General features: G+C 44.0%; 1 protein-coding gene across 10 annotated transcripts in view; it reads left to right on the top strand.

The window, feature by feature from the left end:
* GPM6B (glycoprotein M6B) overlaps positions 1–12276 on the top strand; it is a 167700-nt gene that overhangs the window by 151172 nt on the left and 4252 nt on the right. For 9 of the 10 annotated variants that reach the window (NM_001318729.2, NM_001001994.3, XM_011545497.3 and 6 more), the window contains 5 exons: positions 1659–1845; positions 3946–4102; positions 7478–7649; positions 10042–10115; positions 11164–11229. In NM_001318729.2, coding sequence (NP_001305658.1) covers positions 1659–1845; positions 3946–4102; positions 7478–7649; positions 10042–10115; positions 11164–11229 — 656 coding nt within the window. Of the gene's footprint in view, positions 1–426; positions 1495–1658; positions 1846–3945; positions 4103–7477; positions 7650–10041; positions 10116–11163; positions 11230–12276 lie in introns of those variants that run through there. The other variant, XM_047442009.1, reaches the window with a different exon arrangement.

Here is a 12276-nt window from a genome sequence, read left to right as displayed (position 1 = left end):
CCCTTGCCTCAGCCTCCCAAGTAGCTGGGACTACAGGTGCCCACCACCACACCCGGCTAATTTTTTGTATTTTTAGTAGAGACGGGGTTTTACTGTGTTAGCCAGGATGGTTCCCATTTTATATAGTTTCCCCAATCCACTTCAGGGAAGTTGGTCTTCCTAAAAACAGCTGCTCATCTTTTGAAATTAAAGGAAGCACAGCTTTCTTATGAAGCCCTGATATTTTTTATTTTCTAATGAACTAAAGAGAAATCTAGTAATGAGTTTTCATAGTCACTTTCCATAGGTTTAAGCGAATGCTAGTTTAAAAGGAATGCTCACTAAAATGAAAACATTCATCTATGGTGTTTTATGCTGGGTTGTCATTCCATGACAACTATGAAGACCATTTGGGGGATTTTTTTTTTTTTTTTTTTTTTTTTTTTGCTGGCTTAATGTGCTTGCCCTAAAGTAATGAAGTGCCCTTGATTGCTGCTAAACACCATAATGCGTTTAAAGTTCAATTTCCCCGACAAGCCATTTACTTAAGGGTCTGGATAATATAAACAGAGACAGGAGGTTAGGAGAGGTACTGACATTATCCTGAGGCCAGTGCTGCCTTTACTGAAACGTAAATGTCTCCAAACTGAAAACGTCACCTGGCTCTGCCCCTGAGGCAGGTCTTTATGGACATCTCAAGTAAAAGTTTATTTTAAAAATGAATACAAGTCTCGTCTTTTCAAGATTAAGAGTGACTTACGGCTGTCTCTCCTTCATTCCACTTCATGGATGTTCATTTTGGTTTTGTTTTTTTCTTCTGTTCTTTTTTCTCCTTCAAGTACTTAAATATCACCCACCAGTTCTGGGTTCTGACTCTGAACGTGTGTGTCGGGGAAGGGGGCAGGTGGAAGCCGGGGAGGAGGAGGACTGTGAATGAATTGCTTGGGCTGACTGGGCTGGGGGGAAGCATTTTTATTAAAAATTTGAGATAATTTCTGATGTCAACTTGAATGAAACTTGAGTAGACCCACTTGAGTGGCTCTTGGTGACTTTGTTCTTCACTGAATTATGGACCAAAATACCTGTGACCTTTCCAAAACAATCACCTTGCTATTTGTTTGAACCTGGCGACGGCATAATTGCTGTATCAGATTCTCCCAGTTGCCCCGGAGGTCCAGGGCTTGGGGAAAGCCGTTGGTTGCCACAGCAGCAGACGTATTGAAACCCCAGAACTGTGAGGCTGGAGACGACCTGACTGTTGCTTTTCTTCACAGAGCTGCAGCTTCACTGCTGTCCTCTCTTTTGACTGTGTTAGTGGAATGAGTGCTTCTTGTTGGCACTTGAGCGGGGCTCCCCCCACCACTCAGTCGATCAGGAAGCTCTAGAACTGTAACTACCTTATAACTCTTTGTCAATTGACTGCTCTGCCATTCACTACCCTTCCAGATTCTGAGCAAATTAAGTTACATTCCCTTTTGGAGCCTCAGGGTCCTCACCGCAGAATGTGAGATCACGGTAACTACCACACTGGCCCTTGGGATGTCGAAGTATTAATATTAACCATAGAGCCTGAGAGGGGAGATGGAAAATTGTAAGCCTTCTCTGTGAATATGGGGTATTCTTGAAGACCAGAGGTGTTCTTGCCCGTAACGGCTATATTTTCTCTCCTTTGGGTTCAGGCTGCTTTGAATGCTGCATCAAGTGTCTGGGAGGAGTCCCCTACGCCTCCCTGGTGGCCACCATCCTCTGCTTCTCCGGGGTGGCCTTATTCTGCGGCTGTGGGCATGTGGCTCTCGCAGGCACCGTGGCGATTCTTGAGCAACACTTCTCCACCAACGCCAGTGACCATGCCTTGCTGAGCGAGGTGTAAGTATCCGGTTCCCTTTAAAAATGCATCTAAGGCCTGGCGTGGTGGCTCATGCCTGTCATCCCAGCAATTTGGGAGGCTGAGGCAGGCAGATCACCTGAAGTCAGGAGTTCAAGACCAGCCTGGCCAACATGGTGAAACGCCACCTCTACTAAAAATACAAAAAAAAATTTAGCTGGGCGTGGTGGTGCGTGCCTGTAATCCTAGCTACTTGGGAGGCTGAGGCAGGAGAACCAGTTGAACCCAGGAGGTGGATGTTGCGGTGAGCTGGTGAGCCGAGATGGCAACACTGCACTCCAGCCTGGGTGACAGAGTGATACTTTGTTTAAAAAAAAAGTATCTGAGATGCAACCACCTCATGATGTTTTTCAGAAAGACTACAGTGTGCTTTCCTAGCAGAAGATGAATGCTTTTACTTAAAGCTCACTTTATGTAGTTAGAAAAAGGTTCATGAGAGAAGGAAAAAGAAAGGGCCTAGAATATGGTAGCTGTTTAGGCCCCAGGGTGGAATGTTACTTGGGAATGGTAAGGTGCACACATAGGACACTCCACACATGGTAGCTGTGGACATGGGGAGCTGTGACATGGTGATAGGTGATGCTGCCGATTGTCTCAACAGAATTGTGTTGTTCCCAAGTAACAGATGCCTCCAGCTTTCTCCCAGGAAGTGACCATCCCTGGAATGGTAGGAGCCCTGTTGAGGACTGACCCCAACTCTAAGCCTACAGGAGCAGTATTTTAACATTAACTCTTCCAGCAGAAGAGCAGATCCCAGGGCATCCTCCATTGCAGAAGAGCAGATCCCAGGGCATCCTCCATTGCAGAAGAGAGGAAGGTCCAGGGGTTTAGCAGCAGATCTCTGCCTTTCTTTCTGGAAACATTCTCAATGGAGTCGCAGTGACTCCCACACATAGATTCTTGTAGCTGTGCAAGCTCAGCAGCAATCTACTTATTTCCTTCACATGTCTTCCCCTTTCTCCATTTCCTTCTACCGTTTCTTTTTCTTCCCTTGAATCCCAAAGTTCCAGTGTTAGTGTGTCTTATGATTATAAGAAACTTCTTCACCAGACTGAAAAAGACATGAATGAATTTTTATGGAATGGTCATGGAGTCATGTTGGAGACTCTTCAGTCCTTAGGGAATTTTATTCTTTCTTATCTGTTCACAAATGACCTCCAAAGAAATGAACACAGGTTGGGGAGATTATAAGGAGGGCTCAAGCAGGACAGGGGACTCACTGAGTTCCAACTATGTGCAAAGAAGAAATGTTTACCAAGACTGAACCTGGGAAAGGTGTGTTGATTTAATTAGGTAGTGATCTCAGTCTGTGGCTCTCAAACTTCTGAGAAGCTTTAAGAAAATCCCCATGCCTTACCCCAGACCAATTAGGACATAATCTCTGGGGGCGGGATCCAGGTACCAGTATTTTCCAAGCTCCCCAGGTGATTCCAGTGGGCAGCCGAAGGCTGAGGACATGTCATTTGTCTTTGTTAGCTTTTGTGGGACAAACTGCATTGTGAATTAACTTTCTGTATCTTAAACCTACTCGACCTACTACTATTTGTGTGGTGGGAGTCACAGTGCAAAAGACATCTCCCCAGATTACCCCCTAAAGAAGCCCTGAGTGCCTACTTAGGGGTTTTATCAGAGTGACATTAACCACTAGGCCTGGTTGGGAGGCATTTTGAAAGGGCAGAAAGAACATGTTGTCCATTGGGCCAGGGTTCAGATGCTGGCTTTGCCACTAACTGTGTATCCTCCGATGAGGAGCTTAACTCCTCAATGCCTGTGTTTTACTTATGTGCAAAATGAGGATTCTAACCCTTGCCGCCCAGGACTCAGGTAAGGATTAAAAGATTACAACTGGATGCTGCCCTGAGCAAAGGAAACATCATTCCCACCTTGGAAGGAAGGCCCAGGTTGCTGGGACATGGGCAGGGATGCCGCCCAGGATGCCCCACAAGTCCATCAAAGCCATCAGTGGGGCGAGTGACGCACTCACAGGAACATCCCCCTCATGTCCTCTCTCCAGCGTCCAGAAACGTAGTCACTACCAGGCAGTGAATTTAATGGTTCAGGATCTCTTCTTCTCTTTGTAGGATACAACTGATGCAGTATGTCATCTATGGAATTGCGTCCTTTTTCTTCTTGTATGGGATCATTCTGTTGGCAGAAGGCTTTTACACCACAAGTGCAGTGAAAGAACTGCACGGTGAGTTTAAAACAACCGCTTGTGGCCGATGCATCAGTGGAATGGTGAGTTGAACCTCTGATAACTGATTGTTTGATATACAACCAGAGCCATGCCTTGATGTATTTCCTTGTATTTGGCAAAAGCTACCAGGTATCGAGCGTGAATGGAGGGTCCATGACACAAATATTGGCTTTACCAATTTAGAGTTAGGACTATAAAAACCTTCAACATGCTATTGATAGTAAACTAAAGTCTATGGCTGGCAGAAATAAATCAAATGTTTTCATCAGTGTAAAGGTGAAAAGGGTGCTGAAGATTTTTCAAATGCCAAGTTCCCACTATAGAAGGAGGTAACTTTCATGTGGTCTCAGTGCTCCCCTTTGGTTGTCTTTAAATATGGATCATAGCCATAAAGACATACATGAACCATGGAAAATCGTCCTGATCCTTCTGTAAATACTTACCAGTACCTGCTGTACAGAGCGCCTAGCTGGGCTTTGCTAGCCACTAGAGGTGCAAAGATTAAAACACAGGCTGCTTTCTCAAGCAGCTTATAGTCTAAGACAGGGGTTAGCAAACTAGGGGCTGTGGGCCAAATTTGACCTACTACCTGTTTTTGTACAGCTCAAGAGCCAAGAATTTTTTTTTTTTTCTTTTTTTTTTTTTTTTGAGACGGAGCATCACTCTGTCTCCAAGGCTGGGGAGGGCAGTGTCGCGATCTCCACTAACTGCAACCTCTGCCTCCCGGGTTCAAGCGATTCTCCTGCCTCAGCCTCCTGTACAAGTCAGGGGAATGGTTACTTTTGTAGGGGAAGGAGGCAGCTGTTAAATAAAATGCCTGTGGAAAGCAGAGGGAAAATAGCCACAAATAGTGGGAATCCTCCTCCAAAGGAAAAAAAAACCAAAAACATCTCCTCACAGCTTTAAAATGACAGCTTTCCCCCTCACTTCTACCCATCAAGTTTCAAAAATAGAGGTCTAGTTTCCACCAGGGCACAGCATTAAGTCATCCACTGCCTGATGTTTAACATATTTGGATCCTTTGAGCATTGGTCAGGACACAGTACATGGTGGAGAGGAGAGGAGCTTGTTTGTACTTGAGCTAGTGGCACTTCACCTAGAGATGGGGACACTGTGAGGGATCCACAGCCCACCTAGCATGGCCCGCTTTTAGCTCTTATGTCAGATTTTGTTGGAGAAAGTCGAAAGCCCCCTTAGACTGGAGAGGAGCTTGACCATCTTGCTTGATTTCATTGCCAGTCATTCATGCGCTGTCTGCATCTCTGGCCACTGGCACCTCATGTGCTTCCGTTTCATCCATACGCTTAACAGATCACAATGCTGACCTGCCTTGGAGGGTGTGAGGAAGATGCAGGTGACGGGGCAGGGCTGAGGATGCTGGGGACAGAAACAGGACAGAAAGTCATGTGAGGTGGAGAAGGTGGATGAGATCTGCCCGCTAGGGAAGCAAAGCTGCCACTCCATCACCAAAGGCCTTTGTCTCCTCAGTCCTGTGAACCCAAAAGTATCTGAAACAGGTATCAGCCAATTTAGAAAGTTTATTTTGCCAAAGTTAAGGATGCACCCATGACACAGCCTCAGGAGGTCCGGACAACATGGGCCCAAGGTGGTCAGGGCACAGCTTGGTTTTATACATTTTAGGGAGACGTGAGACATTTATCAATGAATGTAAGATGTACATTGGTTCCGTCCAGAAAGGTGGGGACAACTCGAAGCAGGGAGGGGGCTTCCAGGTCACAAGTAGGTGAGAGACAACTGGTTGCATTCTTTTGGGTCTCTGATTAGCCTTTCATTGAATATACAATTCACATGGGAGAGGAGGGTAGAGGAATAGTCACTTATGCCTGGTCTGGCTTGGTGAAAAGACAGGGCAGAGGAAGCAATCAGATATGCATTTGTCTCACATGAGCCTCAGAGGGATGACTTTGAGCTCTGTCCTTTGTCCACGAGGAATTTCCTTGTGGGCAAATTGTGAGGGAGGTATGTAGCTTTATCTTTGTGCTATCTTGTTTAGGAATAGAATGGGGGATTTGCCTGTCGCAGTTCCCAGCTTGACTTTTCCCTTTGGCTTAGTGATTTGGGGGTCTGGAGATTTTTCTTTCGTAGTCCTGTGTGGGAGGTTTGTGCCCAGGAACTCACTGAGGAAGCAGCTCTGGACGCTAGAGGCCTCCATGACAGGGCCAGCTCGCAGCGGGGACCTCTGGGAGGGGGACAGTGGCCTTCCCTCTGGAGTCCTGGCCTCTGACAGAAGGGAAGGCTCACTGAAGCCAAGAACCACCAGCTCCCTCCTGCTCAGGTCCTGTTTTCTTTTGAAGGGAAAGAAACCTAGTCTGGAGCAGCAGTGGGAGGAAGTGGGAGGTGGAACTGCTGAAATCTGCTTCTCTGAATATTTTTGGAGATGCAAATGCTTCCTTGCAGTGCAAGGGAAAGTGTCTCGTTTCTGCAGTTTCCTGGCATTGTGACCATCAGGAGGTGGCCTCCAACCGCCCAGGTATCTCCTGCAGCACAGAAAGTTAGGGGTGACCATCAGGTCTCCACCATCAGCTTCAAAATAGAAAAGCCAAACTAGCACTCCACACCCTCTGTGGGCGCGCCTTCTGAGAACACAAATACCACGTTTTTGAGGCCGCCTCACAAAGCTCTCTGAAAAGTGGTCAAGGCAGAGGAAAGCCAAGCAACGGGATTCTATTCTTCCTGGATTGCCCATGACAGTGTGTGGGTGAACACCTGAAGCTTTTTCCCTAAGCCGTTGCTTTGCTTGCAAAGCTGCTGTGAATCTTAGAGACAAAAGAAAAGTAGAGGAAAATGAGAATTTTATAGATCGAGCATTAAGCTTGTATTCGTGATTATTTGAAACTTTTGGTAATTTTGCAGAATCAGGAAACTAGCAAAGTTCTTTTTGAGAGGGCTTCTTGTGGCAATTGCTATTCTCTGTGAGCCAACCTGTTACGAAAAATAAAGGTAACTTTTGAGAAATTAATATGAAGTTATAATTCAGTGGTATATGGAATACATCCAGAATCTATCCCATGTTAAGTAGCATGTTCTGCATTTTCAGAACGGCTATTTAGAAAGAGCACCTCTTGAGAGGCTGCCACTGATTAGCTCTGTGACCTTGGATGAGTGAGATCACCTCTTGGGGTCTCCTGTCCTTGTTAGTTAAGAGTGACCCGAAAGGCCCTGACATTGCTTCGGGCACTCCAATTCTAGATCCTCTAGCTCTGGGGAATGTGGCTGGCTCTTACTTCCCCTGCTCCCGTGCTGGCTTTTCCTTCTTGCTACCAATGCCGGGGCGAGGGTCCCCACAATGTGTTCCACAGGTCAGTATTGGGCCTGAAAATGCACAATCCTTCCACTTAGGGGACACACATCTACCTGTTTCAGTGATGATTGTCCTTCCTCTTGTTTTGGCCTAGTTCGTTTTCCTCACCTATGTGCTTGGAGTGGCCTGGCTGGGTGTGTTTGGTTTCTCAGCGGTGCCCGTGTTTATGTTCTACAACATATGGTCAACTTGTGAAGTCATCAAGTCACCGCAGACCAACGGGACCACGGGTGTGGAGCAGATCTGTGTGGATATCCGACAATACGGTACTTCCTTCTAATTCACCCCTCCCCCAGTTATTTCATTATCCTCTCGTGCATATGTCTGGACCTAATTATTACATGCGCATCCTTTTAATTGTCATGATCTGTTTCATCCCTTCTATTAGAGTAATTTTATACTTTTCCCTTCAATATGCTATTTTCTGGGTGGAAACTTCAGGGAGGCTTTTAGCTTGCTAGGTATCAAAATTTCGTTATATTTTCATGTTAAGTGTGTAGTGAAAGAAGCTTTTCTTAATATGAAACTACTTTATAATGCAGTTCAATCAAAAAAGACTTCTGGATCTCCGCTACAAAAAGATTGTATTTTTTCTTTATTTTCAGTTTTATAACATCCAACTTTCCATTCAAAATAATATTGCACACATTGTATAATTCAATTAATTTGCACATCCAACTCCTCAAATCTGGTCTTTTTAAAATGACCAACTGCTTAAACTTCATCTGTATTGAAAAATACAACATTAGATCCAGCCATATTTTAAAGTCATCAGAACATACTCTATAAATCATTATCAGCTGTTAGAAACCAGTTCAAACATTTTCTAATGAGTGAGATCCTTACAATGGGGATCTAAGGTTGGTTCATTGTGACAAACCCCAGAAGAGACCACTGGCTCCTCCTGTCAGTTAATTTGGGACTTGACTTCGCTGCTGAGTAAGAGAGGGCAGCTGAGTAAGAGGGCAGCATCCTGAGGGAGGAGTCTAATTACTGCTTCCAGCCACCATGGTAGGAAATCTTTTCTTGGCAGAAACAACCGGGGGTGGGGGGGAATAGCTTTCATCAGAATTGAAGAGGAAATAACTGTCCTTCCAGAGCTTTTCTGAAGAGAGATGACTATTTCATTTTTGCTGTTTTTCTCATGTGGCTTAGTCTCAACATCTTACCTTACAACATAATACTAAATTTGCTTGAAACTACCTATCAGACTAACCTCTTCTCACAAAGACCAAGGCTGAACAACACTGTTCTTTATGATAGAGCTAAAAACGGAGCCTAAAGTTGGCTGTTAAAGTTATTTGTAAATGAATATCTAAATGTATATCATTCTCCTATTCCTTAAAAGTAAGTGTTTTGCCACAAATTTTTGGTAATCAGCAATCATCTTTTTAAATCCTCTATATTTGCCTATTTATTGTTATAGTTACTGGTTTCACTGATAATTTGGGGTAATTTCCCATGCTTCTGAAGTATAAAGATGTACTCTTGGCCCGTGTCAAGGATGAAAGGAATAAGGATTTTTTTTCTTCTAATACTCCTTTCCTTAACCTCCTAGGAGTGTTTAATATTTAAGCACAAACTTATGCATTAAAGGGGAAAAAAAGCAGCAGCCCACTGGACAACTGTCATTGCAGAGGAGCCTCAGGGTTTAAGTGAGAGAGAAATCATAGACTCTGCTTGTCCCACCCTCTGGGGTAAAGGACAGTAGTGTTTTTTCTTTTTAAAAAATTTCCGGCCACGCACGATGGCTCATGCCTGTAATCCCAGCACTTTGGGAGGCTGAGGCGGGTGGATCACGAGGTCGGGAGTTCAAAGACCAGCCTGGCTAAGATGGTGAAACCCCGTCTCTACTAAAAATACAAAACTTAGCTGGGCATGGCGGCAGGCACCTGTAATCCCAGCTAGTTGGGAGGCTGAGGCAGAGAACTGCTTGAACCCGGGAGGTGGAGGCTGCAGTGAGCCAATATTGCAGCACTCCACTCCAGCCTGGGCGACAGAGCAAGACTGTCTCAAAAAAAAAAAAAAACAAACCAATTTGATTTTCAGTCCAAAAATATTTTCTAATACGTTTATAAGACATAATAAAAATGAATATAAAAACAAAGACAAAGTACAAATCCAGAGTTTTTTATTGGATTCCCACAAACATAAATTACTCCGTCAAATTGCCATGAAAGTTTGAGTGTATACTTGCAATTTTGGAACTTAACTCCTGGCAGACCAGTAACAGAGCTTGGACAGCAAGGCCACAGACCACAGCATTCATGAGGAAATGTATTTTGACCTCAATGTGATAAAATGCTTTATGAGGGGGTTGTCCTGCAGTAACTATAGGGAAAGCCTGGCTTTGAAAATTAATGTTTACAAATATGAACTTCCAAATGTGAACCCTCACTGAATAAAGCACAATTTGTAGGGGAAAAAAATATCAGGCTGTTTAAATCTCTTATGGACTAGTTGGCTTTGCTTTTGGCCTATTGTTCAAATGGGGCTATTTATTCCAAAATGCTTGTTCTGCAGACAGCAGATCCATCAATTCTTAATGAAGAACATAGCCTACAATTACACTGTAACTGGCATCCGAAGTGGTGGGGTCTGTTAAGAACATGAGGCGCTATAGTTTGTACTAACATCCTATTGGGGTTCATTTTACAGGTATCATTCCTTGGAATGCTTTCCCCGGAAAAATATGTGGCTCTGCCCTGGAGAACATCTGCAACACAAACGAGGTAAACTCATCACAGTTCAGAATAACCCTTGAGTATTAGGCTGAGAAAAAAGGGTTCTCCCAGCTGTAGAAAGAGCGAGAGAGATGGTTAAAATGCCATTAAGGAAAGCTCCTTGTTTAGAATCTTTAAGATAGAGCTATATGTAACCATCACTATTCAGCCATTTTTGACCTACAAAAATGGTCACTTCATATGGTCCAACACATTTGGTGAGAATCCTTAAGAAGTGGAGGGCTTTTCCTTTGGGCAATAATTTAGAGGTGATCCCAAACCTAGAAATCTAATAATATATCTAGATTCTTCTCTCACCTCTTCTACTTCTACTCTTTCTACTTTGAAAGATTTTCAAAGTAGAACACCTGTCACAGAACGGATGTAAGTTAATTTTCATAGAGGAGTCCCTCTATTTCATAGAGGAATTTGTGTATATACCCAACTTTTAATAAATGAGGCCACAGTTAATCATTTATATTTCTGGAATGACTTGCTACTTCTCTAATTCTCATTCGTCCTTACTAGGGAGTGTGTCCTAACAATTTGGTTTAAATTGTCTCAGCCCTAGAACATTCTTCAGTCATTGGCTTGTAACTGTTTATAAAGGAAAATTCTTAAATGCATTCGTAGGTGCTTGTATATTTAAGAAAATCCTGGCAAGCTTTTAAGAAGCAGTGAGTTACAGAAATAATCAGCTCCTACCCTATCTGACTTGTCAATTTGTATATCCATAATATGCAGTGGCTTGAAGCAGGGCTCCCCACCGTGGCTGCATGTTACAGCCATCAAGGCAGCACTATGTTATACTGATGGCTGAGGCCCAGCCCTTAGGTATTCAGATTTAATCGATTTGGGGGGCAGTCTGGGCATCAGAAAGTTTTTAAAGCTCCTCGGGTGATTCCACCATGAGGCCAGAGCATGAAGAGAAGGCAGGCCTGTGCCCAGTCTTGCAGAGAAGAGCTGCAAAGGAGACAGATGAAGCAGCACCCCACAATGAGTGTAGGCCATTTCATTTAACATCAAATGCTTATGTTGATGCCCTGTTCTTTTGTAGTTCTACATGTCCTATCACCTGTTCATTGTGGCCTGTGCAGGAGCTGGTGCCACCGTCATTGCCCTGGTGAGTAATGGCCCCAAGACCACCCTAGTCTAGCCTCCTCCCTCCAGCTTCTAAATGACAGATTTCCCTTCCAGCTTTTACCAGCCTATTGAAGCCAATGATTCTGGCACTCAACCTTGGTTAACTGGCGCCTGTGTTAACTTACCACATGTAGTTTACAGAAAGTATTAGTTGGTTGCCTTGGCACTGATTGTAGGTGATGTAATTTGGACTCTGGAAAGAAAAGAGGGTATCAACACCTATCAACTAGGCCTAGCATATTACCTTGTTGCACTGAGCACTTAGCTTCATGACTTCAGTCGCAGACAGATGCAATGCTCACGTGAGGCATTACCCATTTCTTTGCCAAGGGATATTAATTTACAAGTGGAGATATGCACATATACATACATTTATATAGTCACTCATACAGGGTAGCTGTGTTCCATAAAGTCACCTCAAGCAATGAATTAGCGAATGCTGGACCACTGCTCCTAGGGGAAATACATGGCTAGGTTTCTGTGAGCCTCTGGTCACATCATTTTCAGCAACCTATCAACACATAAGCTTGTTTCGTGTGTTTCTGTGTAAATACACCGTATTTAATATATATTGTTGATTCCTTAATATTGAATTCATGGCCAATAGCTCTATCCCTATGCCTGAATGAAGCTTCTCTAATGAACATTTTCTCTGGTCAGGCAGTTTGCAACCTTCTTGCACTTAGGGACTCTAGACAGCACTGCAGCACTATGCTTGGGAGCCATTTTAAGCAGCAAAATCACCCACAAAATGCACAAAAATGTGAAAAACGTGGCACTAAATATACTTCGAGTATACTTATTTACAGTCTGAGAGCTGAAACAAGAAGGCAGAGTATTGCCTTGTTCAGCCTCAGCTGGGAATGTGCATACCGGGCAACTCAACTTTCACCGCTCTGCACATGTCTGCTAATAACTGCGAAAGAAGTGCCTCAAGTATTAAGGATTACAAATGAATCTTAGCAAGTAGGCAGTCACAAATGTGGAATCTACAAGTAATGAAAATCAACTGTATAAATACACGCTC

Source organism: Homo sapiens, chromosome X (assembly GCF_000001405.40).
Source record: "Homo sapiens chromosome X, GRCh38.p14 Primary Assembly".
Classification (NCBI taxonomy): Eukaryota; Metazoa; Chordata; class Mammalia; order Primates; family Hominidae; genus Homo; species Homo sapiens.
The sequence above is the reverse complement of the archived record's forward strand: the minus strand, read 5'-3'. Positions and strand labels throughout refer to the sequence as shown.